Below are 25,555 nucleotides of genomic sequence, written 5' to 3'. Positions count from 1 at the left end.
CAATTAGTACCCTTCTCTCCCTATCAAATAAAGTTTTAGAAATATTTACTGGGCATTTATGTGGTTTGAAACAAAAAAACAAGCTCTGTCTCCAATTCATTCACACTCAAATAGAGGATAAGACATGTATAAAAGTAATCTTAATACACCACATACTACGTATAGTGCCAAAAAAAGAGATACAAAAGGTTTTGGGATACTCCAAGAATGTTCAAGGGAATCGCATATATACATACAAATGAATGACAAAAGACTCAGAAAGGCAAAATCTCGTGAGTGCCACGTAGCTACACAGTCTCTTATCACTGGCCATCATTCCCCTCCCAACATTTCTTCCTCTTGCCTTAGGACCCAGTAGTCCCGGTTCATCAGCCAACACAGTCTCCAGCTCCTTCACTGCCATCCGCAGAAATTGCCGCCGTTGACAATGAAACTGGCCACTAAGGAAGAAAAGGGGAACATGACTATCACCTCTCCCACCCTTAAAAACCCTCCACAGGCAGCACAGAAGAAAGCTATATTTAGGAAGGGATATCAGGCAGAAGGAAGGTTCAATGCTCAAGTTAGACTTGGTTTAAAAAAGAAAAAAGGGCCAGGAGTGGTGGCTCTTGCCTGTAATTCCAGCACGTTGGGAGGCCGAGGTGGGCAGATCACCTGAGGTCAGGAGTTCAAGACCAGCATGGCCAACATGGCAAAACCCTGTCTCTACTAAAAATACAAAAATTAGCTGGGCGTGGTGGTGGGTGCCTGTAATCCCAGCTACTCAGAAGGCTGAGGCAGGAGAATCACTTGAACCCAGGAGATGGAGGTTGCAGTGAGCCGAGATCATGCCATTGCACCCAGCGTGGGCAACAGAGCGAGACTCTGTCTCAAAAAAAAAAAAAAGAAAAGAAAAGAAAAAAGAATTTATGGGGTAGCAGCAAGTTCTTGGGTTGAGGCAATAAAGCTGTACAGAAACTAAGGATGGCTTAGGTGAGAACAAAAGTGAGAAGAGATTCCTATTCCATCCCCTCTCAGAGAGTGCATTCACCACCCTTTACCTGTTTGCAATTACATGTTCCTTGCTCTCCTTTATGTCTGCCACTCTCTTGCCATACCTGAGGATTGACACAAGCACAATGGGGTTGACCATGCTACCCATTAGGGCCCTTGCCTCACCTTCCCAGTCCTCAGAGAGTCCAGCCTATACCCTGGTGGGAGCATGGGCAGCCCTCACAGGCAGGATCTTTCCAAACCCTACTTCTCACCCTAGCCTATTAATAAAAGACTCACAGCTTAGAGATCATTCAACTCTACCTCATAATTTTACAGATACAGAAAATAATACCTAGGGAAGGGAAATGACTTGTCAAGGTCACATAGGGCTTTAATGGCAAAGGTGGGGCTAGACTTCTCTTCCTGTGCTCCTGCCTTGACTCCTTCAAATCAAGGTACTCTTCCAGGTTTGAGGGGGTTAAAGGGAGCAGTGTATAAATACAACACAGGCCCTGCTCTCAAGTAAAAGTAGTTACTCAATCTCTACCTTGGGTCCCATTCCCACCAACTTCCTTTTAGAATTTCACTGTATCAGTTATCTATTTAATACTTTAATCTCTCCTTCTCCACTGGCTTATTCTCTTCTCCCAACAAATAAGTTCAAAGCCTCCCGTATTCTAAGAAGATCCTTGCTTGACCCTGACAATCCACCGAATTCTGCTTATTTTCCCACACCACCAAACTTCTCTAAAGAGACACCTATACTCTCTCTACTTCCTCACCTCTCACTGACCCTTGAATCCCACAAAGCCTTCAGCACTAAGCAACTGCTCTCTCTAAAGTCAATGTGAACTTTTGAATCACCAAATTAGAAGGCCTTTTCATTGTTTTTAATTTTCTGCAATATTTGATTCTCCTAACCACATCTCTTTTTTTCTACTAGTGACCCATGCTCAGAATCCCAGCATTATCTTAGACTCTTTGCTCTCTATGTTCCTTACATTTGTTTTCTCTTGTCCTGTATCACTATTGCCACCACATTATTGGGACTTCATCACCTCTCCTTTCCCTTCTCCAAACCACTACTTTATTGAACTAGCACAAAATCAAAGAAGTTTGGTGTTGGAAAGTATCTTAATTAAATCAACATTCAACTTCACAGCAATCTATTGGATAATTATTTTAATCTCTGCATAGCACAATGGAAAGAGAAAAGATTCAGAGTCCAGAAACCTGGAATTGTGTCCTAATTTCACCTCTTATTGAGTGACACTGAGACTGAGCCTCCATTTTCTCATTTATAAAAAAAGATATTAATACTTATTCTTGAATTTTCATGAAGATAAATTAGATCATTTATGTCAAAGAACTCCCTAAACTATAAATCACACAAGTTAGTTGCTGCTCTTAGTGATGGAGAACTGAACACCCTTCGAACATCTCTTCCATTCCTTAGAAGCAGTAATCATCAGAAAGTTTTTTCATGCATATGCCCAAATCCACCTCCTGTAACTTCTAATTATTAATCTCAGATTTACTCTTTCTAACTCTGGCAATGGTTTTTAATGACAATACTTAGTTGTTGAGAGTGTGAGAAATCAGTATTCTTATAGGCTCTTGATAATAACTGGTTAGAGCACAATTTGGTAAGAGCTATTAAAATTTGAAATGTACATACCCTTTACTTCAGCAATTCCACTTCTAAGAATTTAGCCTATAGAAATATTCACAGATTCAAGGCCAGGCGCGGTGGCTCACGCCTGTAATCCCAGCACTTTGGGAGGCCGAGGTGGGTGGATCACCTGAGATCAGGAGTTTGCGACCAGCCTGGCCAACATGGTAAAACCCCGTCTCTACTAAAAATACAAAAAATTAGCTGGGGGTGGTTGTACATGCCTGTAATCCCAGCTACTTGGGAGGCTGAAACAGGAGAAGCGCTTGAACCCGGCAGGTGGAGGTTACAGTGAACCAAGATGGCACCATTGCACTCCAGCCTGGGCAACAAGGGCAAAACTCAAGTCTCAAAAAAAAAAAGAAAATAAAAAAATATTCACAGATTCACAAAGATATATGCCTAAGAATGTTCATTACAGCATTGTTTACAATGATTTTTTAAAATGGAAACAGCTTAAATATCCATCAATAGAGGATTTTGTAAATAAACTATGTTACAACCACATAATGTAATATTATTCAACTGTTAAAAATAATAAGTCTCTATAGACTGATATTCAAAGATATCCAAAACATAGTAAGTTTTTTTAAGCAAACCATAGAACATAATATAGAGTGTGGCTCCATTGCTTTTTAAAAATTACTTTCATAAGGTTGAAAATACATGCCATCTTTATGTGTTTATACACACACACACACACACACACACACACACACATCTGAAGGATGCACATCAAACTATTCTGGGAGGTGATAGTGTAGTCAACTTCCACTTTGCACTTTTTACATTTCTGGATGTTTTATTTGCAACCAGAAAAAAAATTGGTATTTTGACCCTTTCCTTAAACCCACTCCTCCTTCTCATTTTACCTCTCTCTATTCTTCCCTTTACAGTCAAACTTTGAAAGAGCTGTTTATTAAATTCCATATCTCTCACTTGCTCCTAAACTCACTGCAGCCCAGGTTTCAACTTCACCACTCAAATTGTTCACAAGAAGGGCACTAAAACCATCTTTAGAGCCAAATCCAATGAACATTTTTTCAATTCTTATTTTATTTGATCTCCCAACATCGTCTAACAGATCACTGGTCCTTCCTTCTAGGAATGCTTTCTTTGTTGGCTTCTCTTTTCCCTCTTCTTTTCAGTATCTCCCACTGATTTCTCTGGCCCTTAAATATCAACATACACAGAGGATTTTCCCATTCTGTTCTCACTCCACATGTGCTCCTGAGTAATCTCAACTACTCTTCTGGCTTTAACTACCAACTCAGCAATCTTTATCTGAATCCAGACCTCACTCCCAAGTTCCAGAACCATAAAATAGAAGGCCTAACACATCTGTCTTCAGTGTCCCACAGACATTTCAAAGTCAACCTGTTTAAAACTAACCACGCAATCTTTCTCCCACAAACTTACTTTTATCACATGCTCTCTTATCTTAAGGAATACCAGATATCCACGCCAGAAACCTCGACATCATCCTCAATTCCTTCTAATTTACTTAATTAATCTCTGCCTCTAGTTTTGCCCATCTAATTTCTTTTCTTCCATGCAGCCAGAATGATCTTTTCTAAAATGCAAATATGATCATGTCACTCCCCTGTCTGAAATCACTCAATAGTTCCCCATCCTCTTTGGGATGGATTCAAACTCCATAGCAAAGCATACAACATCCTAATTTACCTCTCCAAATTCATCCTCAACATCTTCATTTTTATAACCCAGATGCCCATGCACTGAACTACATGAACTTCTCAGAACTTGCCATGCTCTTTGTTGCCTCAAAAATCTTGATAGTTTCTCTGCCTAGAATATCTTTCTTTGCCTCAAGCAACTCCCCTACCTTTCTACCCAATGCACAGGCACACACACACACACACAATTACTCACACATACACACACACACACACACACACACACATACACACACTCTTCAACTGTTTAGCCTTTCAGATCTACCTGTCTCCAGGTTTTTCTAGATCCTGAGAGGCCAGTTTAAGTGTCCTTCTAAATGCTTCCACAGTACTTTGTGTTTACACATTATAATCTCTTACTCTATCAAACAATTTGTTTATTTTCTACCAGTTCATAGATTCCTCGAGAGCAGTAACTGTCTTTTTTTTTTCTTTAACAAGCACATAGCACTTACAATGTACCAGGAACTTTTCTACCTGCTTTACAAATAATAACACTTTTATTCTTCACAACAACCCTATGAGGTAGGCCATAGGGAGGTACTACTATTATCCACATTTTATAGATGAGGAAATTGAGGTAATGGCATGGGAAATTTGAGCAACTTGCCCAAGGCCACACAACTAGTGGTAGAGCCTGAATTCAAACCCAAGCAATCTAGTTTCAGAGTCTGTGCTCTTAACCTCCATGTTGTCTTATTCATTATTGTGTCCCTAAAACCCAGTGAAGCACTTAGCTAATAGTAGGTATTTAATGTATATTTCTTCAATAGTTAGAATTAATCGTTACCACCTATATCTGGGAACACTTGTGGAGACTGAAAAAGGATATTGGAGGGGCTAAAAACTATTCAAGGAAGATCAGTTTGGCTCTCGTGTCTCTCACCCTTTCAAACTGCTAAACAGGTCCTCGGTGACTTTGTGCACCTGCAGCACATCCTCACGGATAAGGGTGATGTAGAGGGAGCCCTGCAGACACAGCTTCCACAGCTTCTGGCACTGGCTATTGGAGTTGAGGCACCCATGACAAAGAAGAAACCCAACTGTAGGTGGGAAAACAGTGCAGAGGAAGACTTTTAGAACTTGTTCTTCATATAACATACTGCTTCATCCACTCCCATCTAATCCCACTAAACTTACTGATAATCCAGCGCTCCATTACTTCCACAGACAGATACTCACAGGCCATCTGTGAGAAGAGAAGCAAAGATGATCAGTTATTTAACTTGGCCTTCCTCTAAAGGAGAAAGGACAAACTAGGATCTGAGTATCAAAACTAACTTTTGGCAAGGGGTGGTGGCTAACGCCTTTAATCCCAACACTTTAGGAGGCAGGGGCAGGAGGATAGCTTGAGGCCAGGAGTTCAAGACCAGCCTGGGCAACACAGTGTGACCTTGTCTCTACAAAAAATTTAAAAATTAGCCAGACATGGCGGTGTGCACCTGTAGTCCTAGGTACTCAGGAGGAGGAGATAGGAGGATCTTTTGAACCCAAGAGGTCAAGGCTGCAGTGAGCTGTGATTGTACCACTGCACTCCAGCCTAGGCAACAGAGCAAAACCCTGTCTCTAAATTTTTTTAAAAAACTAACTTTTATTTTACCAGACTAGTTTAGGGCACATTGATAAACCAACAGCAGGGAAGCCTGCCAATAATGGAGGTGATGAGGCACTGGAAGTGGAGTAAGGGAAAAACAATACAGTTGAGAAAATAAAGAGGAACTTGGACTAGAAGTCAGAACAAGCAAAAGGTTTCACATAACTTCTCTTCAACAGTTCAGATATTTTTAATAACAATAAAATGAAGAGAGCAAGACTCAGAAATCTTCTCATGATTTCTCCCTGTGATGGTTAATCCTTTGGATTATTTTACTGCTTAAAATGTAAATCACTCATTTGGCACTTATCACTAATCATGTACCATCAGTTGTATTTTTGTGACTACATGGCATATGTTCCCTACCAGACTATAAGTTCTTTGAGGGAAGGACTTTGAGCCCACAGTCATCAAACAAAAACATTTATTAATTAATTGATTCCTGGCCAGGCACAGTGGCTCACACATGTAATCCCAGCACTTTGGGAGGCCAAGACAGGAGGATCACTTGAGCCCAGGAGTTCAAGACCAGCCTGGGCAACATAGTGATACCTCGTCTCTACAAAAAAATAAACAGGCTGGGCGCGGTGGCTCACGCCTGTAATCCCAGCACTTTGGGAGGCCAAGGCACACAGATCACTTGAGGTCAGGAGTTCAAGACCAGCCTGGCCAACATGGTGAAACCCTGTCTCTACTAAAGATACAAAAAAAAAAAAAAAAATTACCCAGGTGTGGCGGCACATGCCTGTAGTCGCAGCTACCTGGGAGGCTGAGGCAGAAGAATTGCTTGAACCAAGATGGGGAGGTTGCAGTGAGCCAAGATCACGCCACTGCCCTCCAGCCTGGGCGACAGAGTGAGACTCTGTCTCAAAAATAAAAATTAAAATTAAATAAAATAAACAAAATTAGTCAACCATGGTGGCACACACACCTGTAGTCCCAGCTACTCGGGAGGCTGAAGTGGGAGGATCACTTGAGCCCAGGAGGTGGAGGCTGCAGTAAGCAGTGATCATGCCAGTGTACTCCAGCCTGGGTGACAGAGTAAGACACTGTCTCAAAAAAATAAAAATAAGTTAATTGATTCCTAAAATCAAGTTGCTGCTAGGCTTAATAGGTGCCTAATGACTCTGTTTCATCCATTCATTCATTCTATGAATATTTACTAAATTCCTTCTATGGACAGGCTAACTGCTTATAGATCACTTTTGTTAAACCACTAACCCTGATCCAAACAAAAGCCCCAAACCAACCATGATTTTTTAGCTACAAGAAGTGCTCAACTTAGAGACATACCCTAGAAGAAGACTAAAGCATTCTTTAGTACTGATATTTCCTGAAAGAAGCACCCTCTACAGAGATGATGGCCTTGGCAAAGAGAATGCTTCCACTAACAAAAGGAAAAGGGCACTCACTGTATCTGAATTAGCAGGGTTAATCATGGCTGGGGGGTTGCTGATGAGGCTTAGAAGTTGGGCACTGCGCCACTGCTCAGCCCCCTGGTTTCTTCGGACAAAGAGGAAATGCAAAGAGAGGAGGGCTCCACTCACAGCCTGTGGGGAAAAGCAAATGAAACCTTAGCGGCAATCATGAGGACAATATACTTTTGCCTGAGGAATTCTCCATTGTCAGGGAACTTGCCTTTGTGTGAGGCCCAAACTCTTCTGTCAGCTTCTTCAGAGGGTGGTCATACTCCAAGACCATCTGACCCAGACGGGCAAAACTGGGGTCACTAGAAGAAAGCAGAGGAGAGGGGTTACAGCCCTCCCTTACCCATGACTTGAACTCTTATGTTTGCATATAGGATAAAGATATGTGCATAGGCTGGCACTCCCCACCACCTCCAAAGATATACATACTACACTGTAAATTACATATAAAGATACCCCACTCCAGGATCAGGTTACTAAGCTATGGCTAAATAGAACCATTTCATTTTGGGCAGGTCCATGAAATTTTCTTCCTTATAAGCACAAAAATAGGGTTGGACACATGATAGGTACTCTATAAATCTGTTAATTAGTTCAAAATCCAGTAATATGCCTAGATTCAAATCGTTATACAACCCAAAAGGATATATAAATATTCAAAGCTAACAGGTAAGGCATGTGTCTAGGTATCCACGTAGGCATGTGGGAATACACATCATCATAGAATGATGTGCCACAACCCACTCTGATCCCTCTAGTCTTCATTTTTTCAGCCCTTAAATACTTACATTTGCACTAATGGAGGGGGACAGAACTGCAGACAATTCAAAATCCATTTATATTTGGCTTCAAATGTATTATCACGCATTAGTTACCTCTAATGGATTTACCTTACTAATATTATTCCTACCAACACTAAAAAGAATTTTCTTTGCCTTTTGTAATAACCTGAAAATCAGAGTAGAAGCCAGTCCAGGATTAAAAATTGTTCAGAGATGATGCAAATTGAATAATCCACTAGCAGATATTCAAGAGTTAGCCACAGTTGTCTCTCATTATAGCAGGGAGATTGGTTCCAAGACTCCCACGTATGCCAATATCCCGTGCATACTGAAGTCCCACAGTCAGTGCTGCGGAACCCACACCATTTAAAAAGTCAGCCCTCTGTTAAGGGTGGATTTCACATCCCATGAACACTACATTTTCAATCCATGTTTGGTTGAAAAAAATCCATGTATAAAGTGGACCTGCGTAGTTCAAACCCGTGTTGTTTCAGAGTCAACTGAATATGTAAAAGTGTACCTTATTTTGCCTGGGTCAATGTAGATTATAGGTTCTCATATAAGAAATCATGGCATCAATTTCCTTTGCATGAGGGACTCTCTACATCATAGCACCATGTATGAGACTCTTCATATAATACTCTCGCCTTAACTCACCCATGCCCATGCAGCATCTCATGGGCACAATTGTACATGCCAATGAGTATCCGCCGATCTTCAATCCGTGACAGAAGTAAAATGACTGAGGTGTAAGTTACAATCAAGTCCAGGTAACTCCGAGTGAAATCAAAGTTGAGATTCTACAAGGAAAATACATAGGAACCCAAGGACAGCATGGCCAATTAACCTGGATCTCCTTCTTTCCCCAACCACTCTGGACAGTGCTCAATATATTCCGAGTGAATCTATTTAGAAGTAGGAACTGACAGGATTGAAAAGAAGAATAAGAAAATTGGAACAAAAGTCAGGGGCTAAAAGTGAGCTCAATATACAAGGAGGCCAGGAAATAAGGTAGCTTTTAGGAGATGGAAAAGGTGAAGAAGATTTTTATGTAATTTTTTAATTAATTAAATCACATTGCTGATCTGCTTAACATGTAAATATATTTTCACTTCAGCACTTTTTACAAAACAATTATAGTAGTCCTGAGAAGGAATAAACAAAATAGCCATCCTTCCAGTCCCTTCCCACCCCATCCTGTGAGTAGACCTAGACCTCCCAACCTAGACCTGGCCTTTTCTTTGACTCTACGATAGAAGAGAATTGCAAAGGTTCTTACGATATCAAAATGGCACTGGCAGGCATCAATGGTGTTGAGAAGTTCATATACATGATCCTGGGGGTGGAAGTGAAGACAAGAATTAATAAAAAATCAAAGAGAAGGTGACGTACTACCAGAACTTGAGGGAAAGGGACCTCTCCCTTAGAGGTCCTAGAAAGCCACCAAGTAACAGAGAAAAGTCACTGTGAAAAAGAGGGAGGAAGTTCCTCCTCAGTAAGCCACCAGTGGGCCCCTATGACCTACACTGCCAAATGCCTACATTTCCACAGGCACAAGTCTCTATTACATTACACACACTTTTCCTGAGCTTATCATCCCTATGCCCCATTCCTCCAAATTAAAAAAGGTTGTAAAATGTAGATTATCTAATAGGTAGCTTCAAAAATGCCAAAAATCAAACGATTCGTATTGACAAACCACGAAGTAAGTCTGTTCCTGGATTCTATCTCCTGTTCTCAGGAGTTAATTATTAACAAACGGGAATACTGTCTAATTTTCCATGAGTTTCTATTTACTGACAATTCACTATGTGTGAGGTACTTACCAAGTAATTTGCATATACTTCATTTAACTCTCATTCTAGTATGATAGGGATTCTTCTCCTTTTCACACATAATTTTACCTAAATTAATATGCACTTTTATTGCAGACACTTCTTTCCCCCAACATCAGCACCCACACTCCATCCTGCAGAACGCCCAGGTAAACCACTTTAGCAACCTGATATTATTTTTCTTATAATATTTTCTTATTTTTCTCCCTATTTATATAATACTATTAGATTATAAAAGGAAAAGAGAGAGAGAGAAACAGGTTTTTTGGTCATTATTTGTGTTACAAAATTGAGGTAATATTCCCTGCTTGTAATTTTGCTTTGCTCATTCACTCCTACTTGCCAAAAGTTCTCAGAGTTATCTCCTAGAGCATGAATGCATCCTTTTTCATAGCTGCATAATAGCCCATGGTATACCACAATTCATTCAGCCTTTCTTCCACTGATTCGTTTTGTTCCTAGTTCCTAGCCTTCTCCACTGAATATTGGTACTTTCATTTCTAAAAAAGTAAAATTGATAGATTAAGGAATATATATATATATATATATATATATATTTTTTTTTTTTAATATGTTGCCAAAAGATTTGAACAGGCACTTAATACCATAAAAAAAATATGATGCCAAGCATGGCGGTTCACACCTGTAATCCCAGCATTTTGGAAGGCTGAGGTGGGAGGTTCACTTGAGGCCAGGAGTTCAAGAGAGCCTGGCCAACATGACAAAACCCCATCTCTACTAAAAATAAAAATAAAAAAAATTAGCTGGGTGTGGTGGCACATGCCTGTAATCACAGCCACTCAAGAGGCTGAGGCACGAGAATTGTTTGAGCCTGGGAGGCAGAGGTTGCAGTAAGCTGAGAGGCGGAGGTTGCAGTGAGCTGAGATCATGCCACTGCACTCCAGCCTGGGTGACAGAGCAAGACTCTGTCTCAAAATATATATATATATTTATAATAAGCACATGAAAAGATGTTCAATGATATTAGCCATCAGGGAAATGCAAATTTAAACCACAATAAGATACCATGACACACCCACTGGAATAACTAAAATGTAAGTCTAATAATAGCAAGTGCTGATGAGAATATAGAGAAACTGAAGCTCTCATACATTACTGGTGGGAAGATAAAATGGAACAACTCTGAAAAAAGGTTTGGCGGTTTCTTATAAAATTAAATATACTCTTACCATATGATTCAGCAATTCAACTTCTAGATTTACCCAAGTGAAATGAAAAATATGTCCCCACAAAGATTTGTACTTGAAAGTTTGTAGCAACTTACGCATAATGGCCTAAAACTAGAAACAACTCAAATGTCTATCAACAGGTAAATGGATAAATAAATTGTACCCATGCAATGGAATAGTTCTCAGCAAAAAGGGGGACTGAGGCCGGGTGCCGTGGCTCCCGCCTGTAATCCCAGCACTTTGGGAGGCCAAGGTGGGCAGATCACCTGAGGTCGGGAGTTCGAGACCAGCCTGACCAACATGGAGAAACCCCGTCTCTACTAAAAATACAAAATTAGCCAGGTGTGGTGGCGCATTCCTGTAATCCCAGCTACTTGGGAGGCTGAGGCAGGGGACTCCCTTCAACCCAGGAGGCAGATGTTGCAGTGAGCCAAGATCACACCATTGCACTCCAGCCTGGGCAACAAGAGTGAAACTCCATCTCAAAAAAAAAAAAGGGAGGACGGGGTACTGAATCACTGATACATGCAACAACATAGATCAATCTCAGAAACATGATGCTGAGTGAGAGGAGCCAGACACAAAAGAATACATGCTGTATAGTTTCCCTTTATTTGAACTGCTAGAAAAGAAAAATCTATTCTAGAAAGTAGATCAGTGGTTGCCTGGGGCCAGAAGTGAAGGGTAGGGATTGGCTGAAGCTAAAAAAAAAAAAAAAAGGCACAAGGAACCCTTGGGGTGATGGAAATATTCAATACTTTGTAGTGGTGGTTACACAGGCATATACACTTGTCAAAATTTATTAAAATGTGTAGGAAAAGTGCTTCTTACTTATCTTCCAAAAAAAGGCTGTGTCTAAATTAACAGATAAGGAAACCAAGGCCAAGAGCCATTAAGAAACTTGCCTAACACACCAGACAGGGTAGCTGTCCCCCAAAATGTGCCCTGTGCAGGCAGTGCCCCGTCTCCATGCTTGTTTCCGCAATGTGGCGGGGAGCCGGGTGACATCATAAATACTTGCTGAATGAATGCAGAAAAATAAAGAAACTGGCCTAAGATCATAGAGCTAGTAAGGAATGGTACTAGAACTTGAATCCAGAGCTTTTGATTTTCCCTGTATGCTACATGACCTCTGTCTAGGTCTATACTTCCTCATTTGCTAGGAATGCCTTTCTACAACTCCAGCCTACACCCAAATTCCAGTGGAATATAGCTGAAATTCACTTTCAGCCACTCACACAACCAATGTCACTACGCAGGTCTTATTCTCTACAGACAAGAATCAGAAGGGAACGGAAATAACATGTGTTGGTCTATTGCCTTACTATATGCTAAACACCAAGCTAGATGTTGTCCATGCATTATCTCATTTAATTCTCACAGACGCCTCACACAGTAAATCTTATTTCCTCATTTTATAGATAAGGAAACTGGAATTTAAAGAGTTTCTTATCTAAAGTCATACAGTTTGTAAGTGGTAAAGCTGAGATTTGAAACCAAGTCTGTCTAATTCAGGGCCTACTTAACAGTGCATCATACTTCAATGTCCCTATTTCCCCTCCTTTCCTAAACAAGCCGTACCAAACACCTTGGGCTCAGAACTTTATTTACCACTGCAGCAACCAGAAGGTGTTCTAAAATCTCCTTTGCCCTTCAACTTTTCTCAGTAAGAGACTTTTTTTATGTGCTTCCAGCATTCTTCCCACTGCCTCCACCAGCACCTACCCTCTTGCTAACCACTACTCTCAATTCCACAATGAATACTCTCTGACCTGACCCTCGTTCATACATTACAGTCCTTCTTGTCCTCACTTCTCTCTTCACTATGTGATCTACTGAATATCCTGGATTTGCTTCCTAGGGTAGGCACAGAACACATTATTCTTGTATCATCTGAAAAAATACTATAACACCACCACAAGCTTGGGTTGCTCAGAGGGCTAAAATTTGCATTATTTCTTGAATACATAAATAATACATGTTTATTGTAGAAAAAACTAGAAAATACCGACAAGTTTAATTTTAACTAGCTTTTTTAAACTATAATCCCACCGATCAGAAATTCCAATCTTCTTTATATGCATATTTACCTATGTAAATATACATTTTAGGGACATCTTACATCTTACATCTGTCTTAAACTGTCTTACTGCAATTTGCTTTTACATTAAACAACATATGATGAACATTTTCTATACCAATTAATATAAAAAATATATTATTGGCTGGGTGCAGTGACTCATGCCTGTAATCCCAGCACTTTGGGAGGCCGAGGCAGGTGGATCATTTGAGGTCAGGAGTTCGAGGCCAGCTTGGCCAACATGGTGAGATCCCCCATCTCTACTAAAAATACAAAAATTAACGAGGCGTGGTGGCACGTGCCTGTAATCCCAGCTACTCAGGAGGCTGAGGCAGGAGACTCGCTTTAACCCAAAGGCGGAGGCAGCAGTGAGCCGAGATCACGCCACTGTATTCCAGCCTGGGCAACACAGTAAGACTCCGCCTCAAAAAAAAAAAAAAGAAAAGAAAAAATATATATGTGTGTGTATATATATATATGTGTGTATACTTTAACAGCTACAGAATATTCATTTGTGGGCACATACTCTGAACTTTTAACCAAACCTTTATTTATTGGATATATCAATTATCACATTGTAACTATCATAAATAATGCAATGGAGTATATTCTTATACATATGTCTTTGCATTTGTTTCCTTTTTTTATTTCCCCATGAAACAATTCTGTTTCCTTATGACAAATTTCTAAATGTAAAATTACGACATTAATTTTTAAAATTTTAATAATACCTTATCAATTTTTCTTTCAAAAACATCATATTAATTTTTATTTTTTATGTTTATAAAAATAATACATGCTCATTATTTAAAATTCAAATAAAATATCATCCATGTAGTATTGCTCCCAAAAACTATCAACAATAAGACAATTTCAAATTGAAGGATTTCTCAAAAATAACTAGCCCAGACTCTTCAAAAATGTCAGTGTCATACAAGACAAAGGCTGGAAATCATTCTAGATTAAAGATGAAGGAGACATAACTAAATCCAATGTATTATCCTTGAGACAACTGGAGAAATGTGAATATGGGCTGTATATTAGTTTGGGTGGGGTTTTGTTTCTTTTTTTTTTTTTTTGAGACAAAGTCTCACTGTGTCACCCAGGCTGGAGTACAGTGGCCAGTGGCATAATCATGGCTAACTACAGCCTTGACTTCCCAGGTTCAAGTGATCCTCCTGCCTCAGCCTCCTAAGCAGCTGGGACTACAGGCACTCACTACCATGCCCAGCTAATTTTTTTTTTTTTTTTTTTTTTTTTGTGTAGATGGGGTTTCACCATGTTGCCCAGGCTGGTCTCAAACTCCTGGGCTCAAGCGATTCATCCCCGTCAGCCTCCCAAAGTGTTGGGATTACAGGCGTGAGCCACAGCACCCAGCCATAATGTTATATTTCCTGTGTATGATATATTTCCTGTGTATGTTATATTTCCTGTGTATGATTTCCTGAGTATGATAATTATATTAGGGTTGGGTAAGAAAATATTCTTGCTCTTAGCAAATGTATGCTTAAGTATTTGGGAAAGGAAATGTCATGATGTATGAGGCTAACTCAAATAGTTCATTAAAAAATAGAGAAGGATAAGAAAATGTGGCAAAATACTAACAATTAGGAGATCCAGGAGAAGAGTATAACAATATTCATTGTACTATACTAGAAATTTTACAGTAGGTTTGTATAAAATATTGTGGAAAAATACTTGAAATTTTTAAAGCTCAAATAATGCAAAGATATATAGTTTATACAGGTTGAGCTTCCCTAACCCGAAAATCCAAAATGCTCCAAAATCTGAAACCTGTTGAGCACCAACAAGACACTCAAAGGAAATGCTCATTGAAACATTTCAAATTTCAGACTTTCATATTAGGGATGCTCAACTGCCTAATGCAAATATTCTGAAATCTGCAAACATATGAAATTCAAAACACTCTGGTCTCAAGAATTTTCCATAAGGAATACTCAACCTGTATAGAGAACTCCTAAGTCTCAACACACACAAAAAATCCAATTCAAAAATGGTCAAAGAATGAAACAGACATTTCTTCAAAGAAGATATATAAATGGCCAATAAGCCTATGAAAAATGCTCATTATCACTAATCATTAGCAAAAATTCAAATAAAAACTTAGATGAGATAATACCTCACACCCACTGGGATGGCTACTGTCAAAAAAACGAAATAACAATTGTTGGCGAGGATGTGGAGGAATTATAGCCCTTATGCACCGTTGGTGAGAATGTAAAAGAGTACAGCCACTGTGGAAAACAGTATAGCAGTTCCTCAAAAAGTTAAAAATAGGCCGGCACAGTCCAGCCTTTGGGAGGCCGAGGTGGGTGGATAGCTTGAGCCCAGGAGTTTGAGACCACCCTGGCCAACATGGGGATACCCCATCTCTACAAAAAATATAAAAACTTAGCCAGGTGTGGTGGCATGTGCCTTTAGCCCCAGCTATTCAAGAGGCTGAGGTGGGAGGATCACCTGAGCCTAGGAGGTCGAGGCAGCAGTGAGCTGTGATTGCACCACTACACTCCAGCCTGGGCAACAGAGTGAGACCCTAACTCAAAAAAAAAAAAGTTAATAATAGAATTATCATATGATCCAGCATTTCCACTTTCATGTTTATAATCAAAAGAATTGAAAGTAGGGTTTTGAAGATATATTTGTACACCCACGTTCATAGCAGCATCATTTACAATAGCTAAAACTTGGAAGCAACCTAAGTGTCCATCAACATACGATCGGATAAGCAAAATGTAGTATAATCATACAATGGAATATTATTTAGCTTAAAAAGGAAATTCTACAATATGCTACAACAGGGATGAACCTTAAGGACATTAGGCTGATGAAATAAGCCAGCCACAAAAAGACAAATGCTTTATGATTCTACTTATATAAGGTACTTAGAATAGTCAAAATCACAAAAACAAAGTAGAATTGTGATGGCAAGGGGCTGGAAAGAAAGGGAAATGGGGAATTATTGCATAAAGGGTAGAGAGTTTCAGGTTTACAAGGTGAAAAGATGGTTGCATTATTAATATACTTAGTACCACTGAACTGTATACTTAAAAATGGTTAAGACAGTAAATTTTATGTTATGTGTATTTTACCATAATTTTTAAAATAGAAAAAACATGCATAGCCTACTAAATTGAAGCCAGTCATAATCAGTCCCCAAAGGTAGTTATTTTTAACAGTTTAATGTAAAATAGTCCAGATCTTTCCTAGATATTTACTAAATACATATACATACATACTCTTTTAAAATAGAAATGTGATGTATCATATACTATTTTGAAATTTGCTTTCATTTAACAATACAACTTAGATATCCTTCCATATTAGTACATCTCTCTCATTTTTTCAAGAACTTGTTTTAAGCAAATACATGAACATCTAAAGAAAGAATAGCCTCTGAAAGACCTTGCCTACATTGGAAACGGCTCAAGAGAGCTCACCCGAAATTCCATGACATCCACAAATGACTGGTAGTAGTTGGTGAGGAATCTAATTATCTCGGCTTTTTCACGATGTACTGGTCCTAAATGTTGCTGAGAGAAACACAAAACAAAACAATAAAAAAGTGCAAAATAAGACAATTGATCCAAATAACTCAAGAAGAACAGTGGTTATACCTAAAACATTCTTAAAGAGGGTTGAGGCCGGGCGCAGTGGCTCACACCTGTAATCCCAGCACTTTGGGAGGCCGAGGCAGGCGGATCACCTGAGGTCAGGGGTTCAAGACCAGCCTGGCCAACCTGGTGAAACCCCGTCTCTATTAAAAATACAAAAATTAGCTGGGCGTGGTGGCGGGCGCCTGTAATGCCAGCTACTCGAGAGGCTGAGTCAGAAGAATCACTTGAACCTGGGAAGCAGAGGTTGCAGTGAGCCAAGATTGTGCTACTGCACTCCAGCCTGGGTGACAGAGCAAGACTCCATCTCAAAAAAAAAAAAAAAGAAAAGAAAAGAAAAAGAAAGAGAGTTGAAATATACTGACAGAGGAAGTTAGAAACGCTTCAGTGCTCTGAAGGTCTTTAAACAAAGGAGATTGTCTATCTAGGTAGAATGGTTGCATGTGATCCTGACTAGATACAGAGGGCTAAATGAGAGGAAATTTTAAGCACCCTTTCAGATGAACAGATATACTATTTATATCAAAGTCAAAAGAAACAGAATTCAAAGATGCTACAAAGATGGGTGAAAAATCTAGGGTTAACATTTAATAAGGGAAAAGTAGAGATATCCCATTAGATGCAGAAATCTAAGACAAACAGCAAGGAAACAGTGAGTGGGAAACAGAAACAATAAAATACATGTACCCTGCTGGGTTGATAGAGCTGTCTTGTACAAAAACAATGTTTTCCCATGAATCTTGCAATGGAAAAGGGGTGATGATTCGCTCCAGCTTATGCTGGAAGAATCCCATCTTATCTCAAAATGCTCAAGACTTAAAGCTCTACAACAACCTGAAGCCCTGTGGTTGAGCCTTGGAAAACTATTAATAAAAAAAGACTACTCCATCCCCTGCCAAGTTTGAAGAGAGGCATCAAAAGAGGAGAATTTCAGCCATTCAAGCAGAGAATTATTCAGAGAAAGGAGAGAAGGACCAAGTTCTCACCGTGCTGTTTCGGACATCTATGTTGGGAAATTTCTTGTTGATATACTTGAGAGATGGTTCCATGGACTTTTCCAGTAAGAAAGGTGGCTTAGATTTGGGGTCTGAACAAGTCTGCAGAGAGAAACCATATATATTTCAACCCTTTCTCCTCCTCCTCAGAAACATACCTCTTCTTGCAACATTCATTCTCATAATCTGTCTTAGGAAAAGGCAACCTGGGAACTAATTTAAAAAGCATGAGAGGCTGGGCGCAGCGGCTCACACCTGTAATCCCAGCACTTCGGGAGGCCGAGGCAGGCAGATCACAAGGTCAGAAGTTCGAGACCAGCCTGGCCAACATGGTGAAACCCCGTCTCTACTAAAAATACAAAAATTAGCTGGGCATGGTGGTGCACAACTGTAGTCCCAGGTACTTGGGAGGCTGAGGCAGGAGAATCGCTTGAACCCGGGAGGCGGAGGTTGCAGTGAGCCAAGATCGTGCCACTGCACTCCAGCCTGGGCGACAGAGCGAGACTCCGAAAATAAATAAATAAATAAATAAATAAATAAATATAAAAATAAAAAGCATAAGAGTAGGTCAAGAAAAAATTCCAAGACATTAAGCCAAGTATCTAAGAGCGAAATAACAACCTAGGCATTTTGTCTTGATGGGTAGAGTTTAATGCCTGCTTGGCCCCAGCACAAAGAGGAAGCTGTTTCCCCGCCCCTCAACTGAAGCCGGAAGGAACAAGAAAAGCAGCTGCTCAGGAGTTAGACTTTGTACAAGATTCAGTGTCACAATTTTGTTCACTATGTAAGTATCTTATCCCAAAGGGCATTTACAGGATTCATGGTGACAGAGAAACCGTGTTCCTGGTGATTTGTTTTATTACAAAAAACACAAAAGCTCCCTCCCCCAAAGTCCCCTATTTTCTATGCCAGGAACTCCCCATAAACACCCCTGTCTTTATCTCTTTACTTCCTATGGTTTGCCCAGCCCCTAGCCCACCTCTTGTCACTAGCTTCTTTCAATTCCTCAGTTCCTATTCTAAACACACACACACACACACACACACACACACACACAACCACCACAGCATGAACTACCCCAGGAGCAGCTCAGAAGACACCTACCCTTTTTAATCTAAATACCTAATTATCTATTTTTTTTCCTTTTAGGGAAGCACTTCCACAGAAAAGTTTTTGCCAGAGACCCAGCTTCAGATCTCTTCAGAGTGTAGAGGATCAACAATAAATAATAAAACCCAGAAGGTTGGACCCCAGACCTTTATCCAAGTCACTTGGAATACCACTGTTGTTTCCCCATCCCCACCCTCACCCCCATCCCCAGAGGAAAGCAGATGCCATCGTTGGGGCAAGAATCATATCTAGAAAGGGGAAGCCTTGAAAAGAAGCCTCCACTTCTGCCTTCCTGAACTGGCTGGCCTGTATAATCTGAGTGATTATGTAGATTATAGTCAGTGGAAAAGCAGTGGAAAAAAAGGTGGGAGTCTAACTGCTGCACCTGCCGCCTCAGGGTTCCCTGCCCTATTATTGTTGGAATAATCAGTACTAGTCCCATTGTTCATGCTTACCTTCTTGATGTTATACATACGGATGAGAACCCCCTGACCGCGATCATTCAGGATAGTGAGCTTCTCTGCTAATTTATGCTGGTAAGCAGATGTCAAAGACATGATGGCCACTGAGAGAGGAGCACCAGACAGCAATGTCTGATCTCCCCAAACACTTTCAGCTTAGATGGTGACACCCTCTGGCGGAGGGACCCAGCCTGGTTGGTGCACTGGTCTTCTGTTGCCTCTGCAATTGGCTCATGGGTGAAATCAGTCATTATGGCTCACAGGCCCTCAGAGCCTTCTTGTGCTTCCTCTTGCACACTCAGCAGGGGAGACTTCCTCTTTCTGGCTGTGCAGCACTTTTGGTAAGGCTATGAAGTGGGTGGAGCTGAGGAGAAGGACAGGCTTTCAAGGCTCTTCACAGACTGCACCAACCTTTTTGGTCTTATGCCCCCATAAGTGTCCTAGACAAAGCTGGGCGTGGTGGCTCACACCTGTAATCCCAGCACTTTGGGAGGAAAAGGTGGGAAGATCCATTGAGCTCAGGAGTTCCAGACCAGCCTGGGCAACATAGCAAGACCCCATCTCTATAAAAAATAAAAATTAAAAGCTGTAAGCTAGATAAACAAGTATCTACCACCCCACCCCTGTACACCTCTATATTTTCCTTCTTTTATATCCAAGAATGCCTATGAACCTTTGGCCTCATCATGTTTTAGTACCCAGATCAAATCCCATCTTCTCCTAAAGACCCCATCAATGTCAAATATTATATTGTATTATATTTTATATTGTCAAATACATATATTCCTTGTTATATGTTTATAGTGTACGTTGTATCTCCCCCAACTACAGCATAAGCTCCTTAATGACAGGAATTGTACCTAATACTTTTTTTTCTTTTTTTTTTTTTTTTTGAAACAGAGTTCCACTCTTGTTGCCCAGGCTGGAGTGCAATGGCATGATCTCTGCTCACTACAACCTCCACCTCCTGGGCTCAAGCAATTCTCCAGCCTCAGCCTCTGGAGTAGCTGTGGTTACAGGTGCCCACCACCACGCCTTGCTAATTTTTGTATTTTTAGTAGACATGGGGTTTCACCGTGTTGGCCAGGCTGCTCTCGAACTCCTGACCTCAGGTGATTTACCCGCCACAGCCTCCCAAAGTACTGGAATTACAGGCATGAGCCACCACACCCGGCCTCTAATACTTTTTTATATTTCTCACAATGCTCTACTACAGTGCATTGTACTTCTACAGTACATAATAATTCTCAAAGTAGTTCTCAAGAAGTACATAGTAATTCTCAAAATGTGATCCAGCAGCATCAGCATCACCTGGAAACTTGTTAGAGATGCAAATTCTTAGGACCCGCCCCAGACCACTGAATCCAAAATTCTGGGGTGGGTCCAGGCACTCTGTGTTTTAACAAACCCTCCAGGTGATTCCAATGCACACTCAAGTTTGAGAACCAGTGCTCTAGTACCATGGTATTTATGGATGCTTGAGAAACAGATCAATCCCTGTCCTCTGAGATTAGCATTGGTAGGTAGGCGAGTCTGTTGTGGGGCCTAGAAGTCTGTACTTATATAAGCACTGTTGTAGGAGGTTTTGGTACAAATATTCCATTCTGAAAAACACTGATCTAGAACAATACCTCTTGGACACAGTAGTCACTCAATAAATATGCTGGTTTATTTGTTGAATTATTAAGACTAAATTAGGAAATAGGCCCCATGAAGAAGAACCAAATTAATCAAGATTAAAAAGAGGAAATTAGTAATCACCCTTAAATCTTAGAGACTTGAATGAATTTTAGCATTAAAATATTCTTGCCATTCCAATGAGGCCTTAACTCCGTAACTCAAGAAAATTTTCAACTCTATTTCAACTTTCTTTCAAGACACAAAGCAAAAGGTCCTAGGAAAAATTATAAATCAAAAAGAGTTCTCTTCATTTCCACCACCTTGCCAATTCCTTTTCTCAGGTTTTTAATCATTCCCATTTTCCGTATCCAGAGTTCCCATTGTCCCAATAAATTCTAGGGAGTGGGAGAAGAGAGACAAGGCTGATCAGCATTATTACTTAAGAAGTTGGGGCCAGGTGAAGTGGCTCATGCTTATAATCCCAGCACTTTGGGAGGCAAAGGTAGAAGGATTGCTTGAAGCCAGGAGTTCAAGACCAGCCTAGGCAACATTGTGAGACCTTCCCCCACCCCTCTACAGATAAAATAAAATAAATTAGCCTGGTGTGGTGGTACATGGCTGTAGGCCCAGCTCCTCAGGAGGCTGAGGTGGGATGGTCGCTTGAGCCCAGGAGTTCAACACCGCACTCCAGCCTGGTCGATAGAGCAAGACTATGTCTCTAAATAAATAAATAAATAAATAAATAAATAAATAAAGGCAAGAAAGAAAAAAAAACTTGAGTACTGTGTTCACTATTTGGGCATGGGTGATGGGTTCATTAGAAGCCCAAATCTCAGCATCACACAATATACCCATGTAACAAACCTGCATGTGTATCCCCTGAATCTAAATGTTTTTTAATTTTAAAAAGAAACTTAACATCCATGCTCCAAAGAGAATGTATTTTTAAAAGAAGCAGCAAGATGGCAACACTTAACGCATGAAATTTCAAATATCTCTAAGGTAGAATTTGCATTTTAGGAATATAGAATCTGCCTTCCATTTTATTTACTAGACTGGGTCCCTAGAAAGCTATGGGCTCGAGGTAATGTGATATTGGTCATGAAGATTTGAATTACCTGCTGTTATCAAAGAAACCCAGGTTTTACTAAAGCAATTTGTAGGATTTCTACTGGTCTTTTACCTTTACCAAGGAGAATATGGAGCAGACAGTAAGAGGCCAACATCCAGGAAGCTTAGCAGCAGCATAGCACCGGTCTTCGTGGGGTTAGTGTAATTCTAGCGGCTCTTTCTTGCATTCCTTTTTTTTTTTTTTTTTTTTTTCCTGAGACAAGCTCTCGCTCTGTTGCCCAGGCTTGAGTGCAGTAGTGCTATCATGGCTCACTGCAACCTTGACCTCCCAGGCTCAAGAGATCCTCTCACTTCAGCCTCCTGAGTAGCTGGGACTTCAGGTGCAGGCCACCACGTCTGGCTAATTTTTGTATTTTTTGTGAGCCACCTCACTTGAATTTCTTGTCTTTATCCTGAAAGTGTGGTTGAAGACTCTGCATCCCAAGCTAATCTTGTTTCCTGCTCCTTAATGGATACTCCCCAACTTGGTGGGGACCATCTTCTCAGCCTGCTGTGAATGTGCTATGTTCATGTCTGCCTCTCTGACTTCACTTACGCATGCTTTCCTTCTTGCTTACCCAAATCCTAGTCAATCTTCAGGATCTAGCTCAATAGTCCCAAGTCTAGGTTTTGCCGAACTCCCACAACACTTGGTCTATACCACATACTTTACATCTAAATCAGGTTCTGTCCTTAACTGCCCATTTCATATAATACTGCCTAGCCAGCTGAACCAAAAGATTGTTGAAACCTGGAAACACTTATTCCCCTGTACTTGGTATATGCGAAAAGCCTACCTGCTGTTATCAGACAGAATTTGGCTCAAGTGTAGTTGAGTACAGTGGGCTGAGCCTTATGATTTAGTGACCGAGAGCCCAGGTTCTGGAACCAGATATCTTGAGTTCACATCCTATTTATCCTGTCTGTAAAATAAAGATGATATTGATAATACTTCCTATTTCACGGAGCTATTGTGCATATTTTAAAAGTTATAGCCTAGTTACTTACTCTGTACATGTAAAGCATTTGAAGTACTATAAGCACTCAAGCTTACATGTATTACCTCAATTAATATTAATAATGCTAAACACTTACTAGCTTTGTAACTTTAGCTATCTATCACCATTGAGTTGTTTCCTAATCTATAAAATGGTGGTAATCCCTCATACGACTGTGGAACTGATGAAATAATATGGCATATGTAAACATTTGGTTCAAGACCTGCTACATTGGATTAGGAATGTCAACAGTAAAGTAAAATTTTGATCTTTGAGTGTGTAGTGAGCTTGTTATGTCACTTTCTGTGGATTCTATTTGACACTCATAAAGAAAAACTCTAGGTTTAAAAATGGAACTAGGCCAGACGCAGTGGCTCACATCTATAACCCCAGCACTTTGGGAGGCTGAGGCAGGCAGATGGCTTGAGCCCAGGAGTTCAAGACCAACCTGGGAAACATGGTGAATCTCCATCCCTACAAAAAATACAAAAATTAGCCGGGAGTGGTGGCACACACCTGTAGTCCCAGCTATTCAGGAGGCTGTGGCAGGAGGATTGTTTGAGCCCAGAAGGTTGAGGCTACAGTGAGCTGTGATTGCACCATTGCACTCCAGCCTGAGAGACAAAGCAAAACCCTGTCTCAAAAAAAATTTTCTGGGCTGAGTGTGGTGGCTCACACCTGTAATCCCAGCACTTTGGGAGGCCAAGGCAGGCAGATCACCTGAGGTCAGGAGTTTGAGACCAGCCTGGCCAAAATGGAGAAACCCCATCTCTACTAAAAATACAAAATTAGCCGGGCGTGGTGTCGGGCACCTGTAATCCCAGCTACTCAGGAGGCTGAGGCAGGAGAATCACTTGAACCCAGGAGATGGAGGTTGCAGTGAGCCGAGATCAAGCCATTGCCACTCCAGGCTGGGTGACAAGGGCAAGACTCCGTCTCAAAAAAAAAAAAAAATTTTGCCAGGCACGGTGGCTCACGCCTATAATCCCAGCACTTTGGGAGGCCAAGGTGGGCGGATTACCTGAGGTCAGGAGTTCAAGACCAGCTGGCTAACATGGAGAAACCCCATTTCTACTAAAAATACAAAAAAATAGCCAGGCTTGGTGGTGCACGCCTGTAATCCCAGCTACTCGGGAGGCTGAGGCAGGAGAATCGCTTGAACCCGGGAGGCAGAGGTTGCAGTGAGCCGAAATCATGCCATTGCACCCCAGCTTGGGCAACAAGAGCAAAACTCCATCTCAAAAAAATTAATGTAACTAACTATGCCAACTGGTAGTTTTTAGAGAAACTTATTGGAAAGATCATTCAGCAGTTTCTCCCATAAACTGGAGGAACCCTTCTAAAGGTATTTAATTACTCCCAAAGTATGGCCTGGTAGACCTAGAATCCCCTGTAGAAGTCTTTCTTTTTTTTTTTTTTTAATAGAGACAGGGTCTTGCTCTGATGCTCAGGATGGAGTACAACTGTGTGTCATGATAGCTCACTGCAGCTTTGAACTCCTGGGCTCAAGTGATCCTCCTGCCTCAGCCTCCCATGTAGCTTGGACTACAGGCACACGCCACCACACCAGGATAATTTTTTAAATTTTTTTATAGAGATGGGGGTCTTACTATGTTACCCAGGCTGGTCTTAAAATTCTGGCCTCAAGCAATCTGTCTGCCTCAGCCTCCCAAAGTGCTAGAATTATAGGTGTGAGCCACTGTGCCAGACCTGTGGAACTCTTTTAAAGCCACAATTAGCCAGAGCCCATTCTTGAAGATTCTGATCCAGTAGTTTTGGAGTGGGACCAAAGGACCTGTCACTTTAAAACTACTCAGTGATTCTCATGAACAATCAGGATTGAGAGCCAGTTCTCTAAGACTTAACTATGACATCAAAAATTTCCGAACCTCTGAGAAATCATAGAACATATGGTGGGAAAAGAGGAATTGAGTAGCTTGAATGGAAAGTTGATTCACATCACCAGACTAAAAGGTACTGTGCTTTCCCTCTCCTCAAACTTCAGCTATTTGTCTTATTTTTGTCTTACCAAAGGATCGTCTTCGCCTTCAAGTCACACTTGCCTTCAGATTCTTGACAGACACTCCTTCAAGAATAAGGTAGGTCTCAAGATCCTTTAGGCTAGGTTTAAGTGTCAAGGTGGCATCAAGGTTGGGAATGCTTTGGCCATGTCTAACATATATCAAAGGAAATGGTCTTAGCCTCCATTCAGCTATCCATAATCAGGTGAATAACCCAGCGTCACCAATTCTCGCCACCTATTCTAAAGCAGTCTTCATTTATTAAGACCAGGCTTATCAGTCTGGTCAAACTTCATACTTTTCTAGGCTGCTGGCCAAAATGAGGGTTTGGGGTTGTCTGAAGACTACATTTGGGT

The 25,555-nt window shown here is 40.7% G+C and overlaps 1 protein-coding gene across 2 annotated transcripts in view, besides 2 other annotated features; it reads right to left on the bottom strand.

Moving 5' to 3' along the window:
• The window catches only part of NCKAP1L (NCK associated protein 1 like), a 50,492-nt gene extending 30,908 nt beyond the window's left edge, over positions 1-19,584 (bottom strand). The window contains exons 1-11 of one of the 2 annotated variants that reach the window (NM_005337.5): positions 19,445-19,584; positions 17,871-17,981; positions 16,711-16,803; positions 9,427-9,483; positions 8,805-8,947; positions 7,577-7,667; positions 7,351-7,488; positions 5,485-5,533; positions 5,231-5,387; positions 1,041-1,097; positions 344-440 (exon numbers count right to left, since the gene is read on the bottom strand). In NM_005337.5, coding sequence (NP_005328.2) covers positions 344-440; positions 1,041-1,097; positions 5,231-5,387; positions 5,485-5,533; positions 7,351-7,488; positions 7,577-7,667; positions 8,805-8,947; positions 9,427-9,483; positions 16,711-16,803; positions 17,871-17,981; positions 19,445-19,546 — 1,095 coding nt within the window. In that variant the 5' untranslated portion in view covers positions 19,547-19,584. Of the gene's footprint in view, positions 1-343; positions 441-1,040; positions 1,098-5,230; positions 5,388-5,484; positions 5,534-7,350; positions 7,489-7,576; positions 7,668-8,804; positions 8,948-9,426; positions 9,484-16,710; positions 16,804-17,870; positions 17,982-18,500; positions 18,559-19,444 lie in introns of those variants that run through there. The other variant, NM_001184976.2, reaches the window with a different exon arrangement.
• Positions 19,393-19,452: an enhancer, noted in NCBI's record as "active region_6445". NCBI's record gives its function as "activates an Ori minimal core promoter by ATAC-STARR-seq in GM12878 lymphoblastoid cells {active_cell/tissue: GM12878}" and the evidence as "EXISTENCE:reporter gene assay evidence [ECO:0000049][PMID:35858748]".
• Positions 19,563-19,622: an enhancer, noted in NCBI's record as "active region_6444". NCBI's record gives its function as "activates an Ori minimal core promoter by ATAC-STARR-seq in GM12878 lymphoblastoid cells {active_cell/tissue: GM12878}" and the evidence as "EXISTENCE:reporter gene assay evidence [ECO:0000049][PMID:35858748]".

Source organism: Homo sapiens, chromosome 12, assembly GCF_000001405.40.
Source record: "Homo sapiens chromosome 12, GRCh38.p14 Primary Assembly".
Classification (NCBI taxonomy): Eukaryota; Metazoa; Chordata; class Mammalia; order Primates; family Hominidae; genus Homo; species Homo sapiens.
This window is presented reverse-complemented; position numbering and strand designations above follow the sequence as displayed.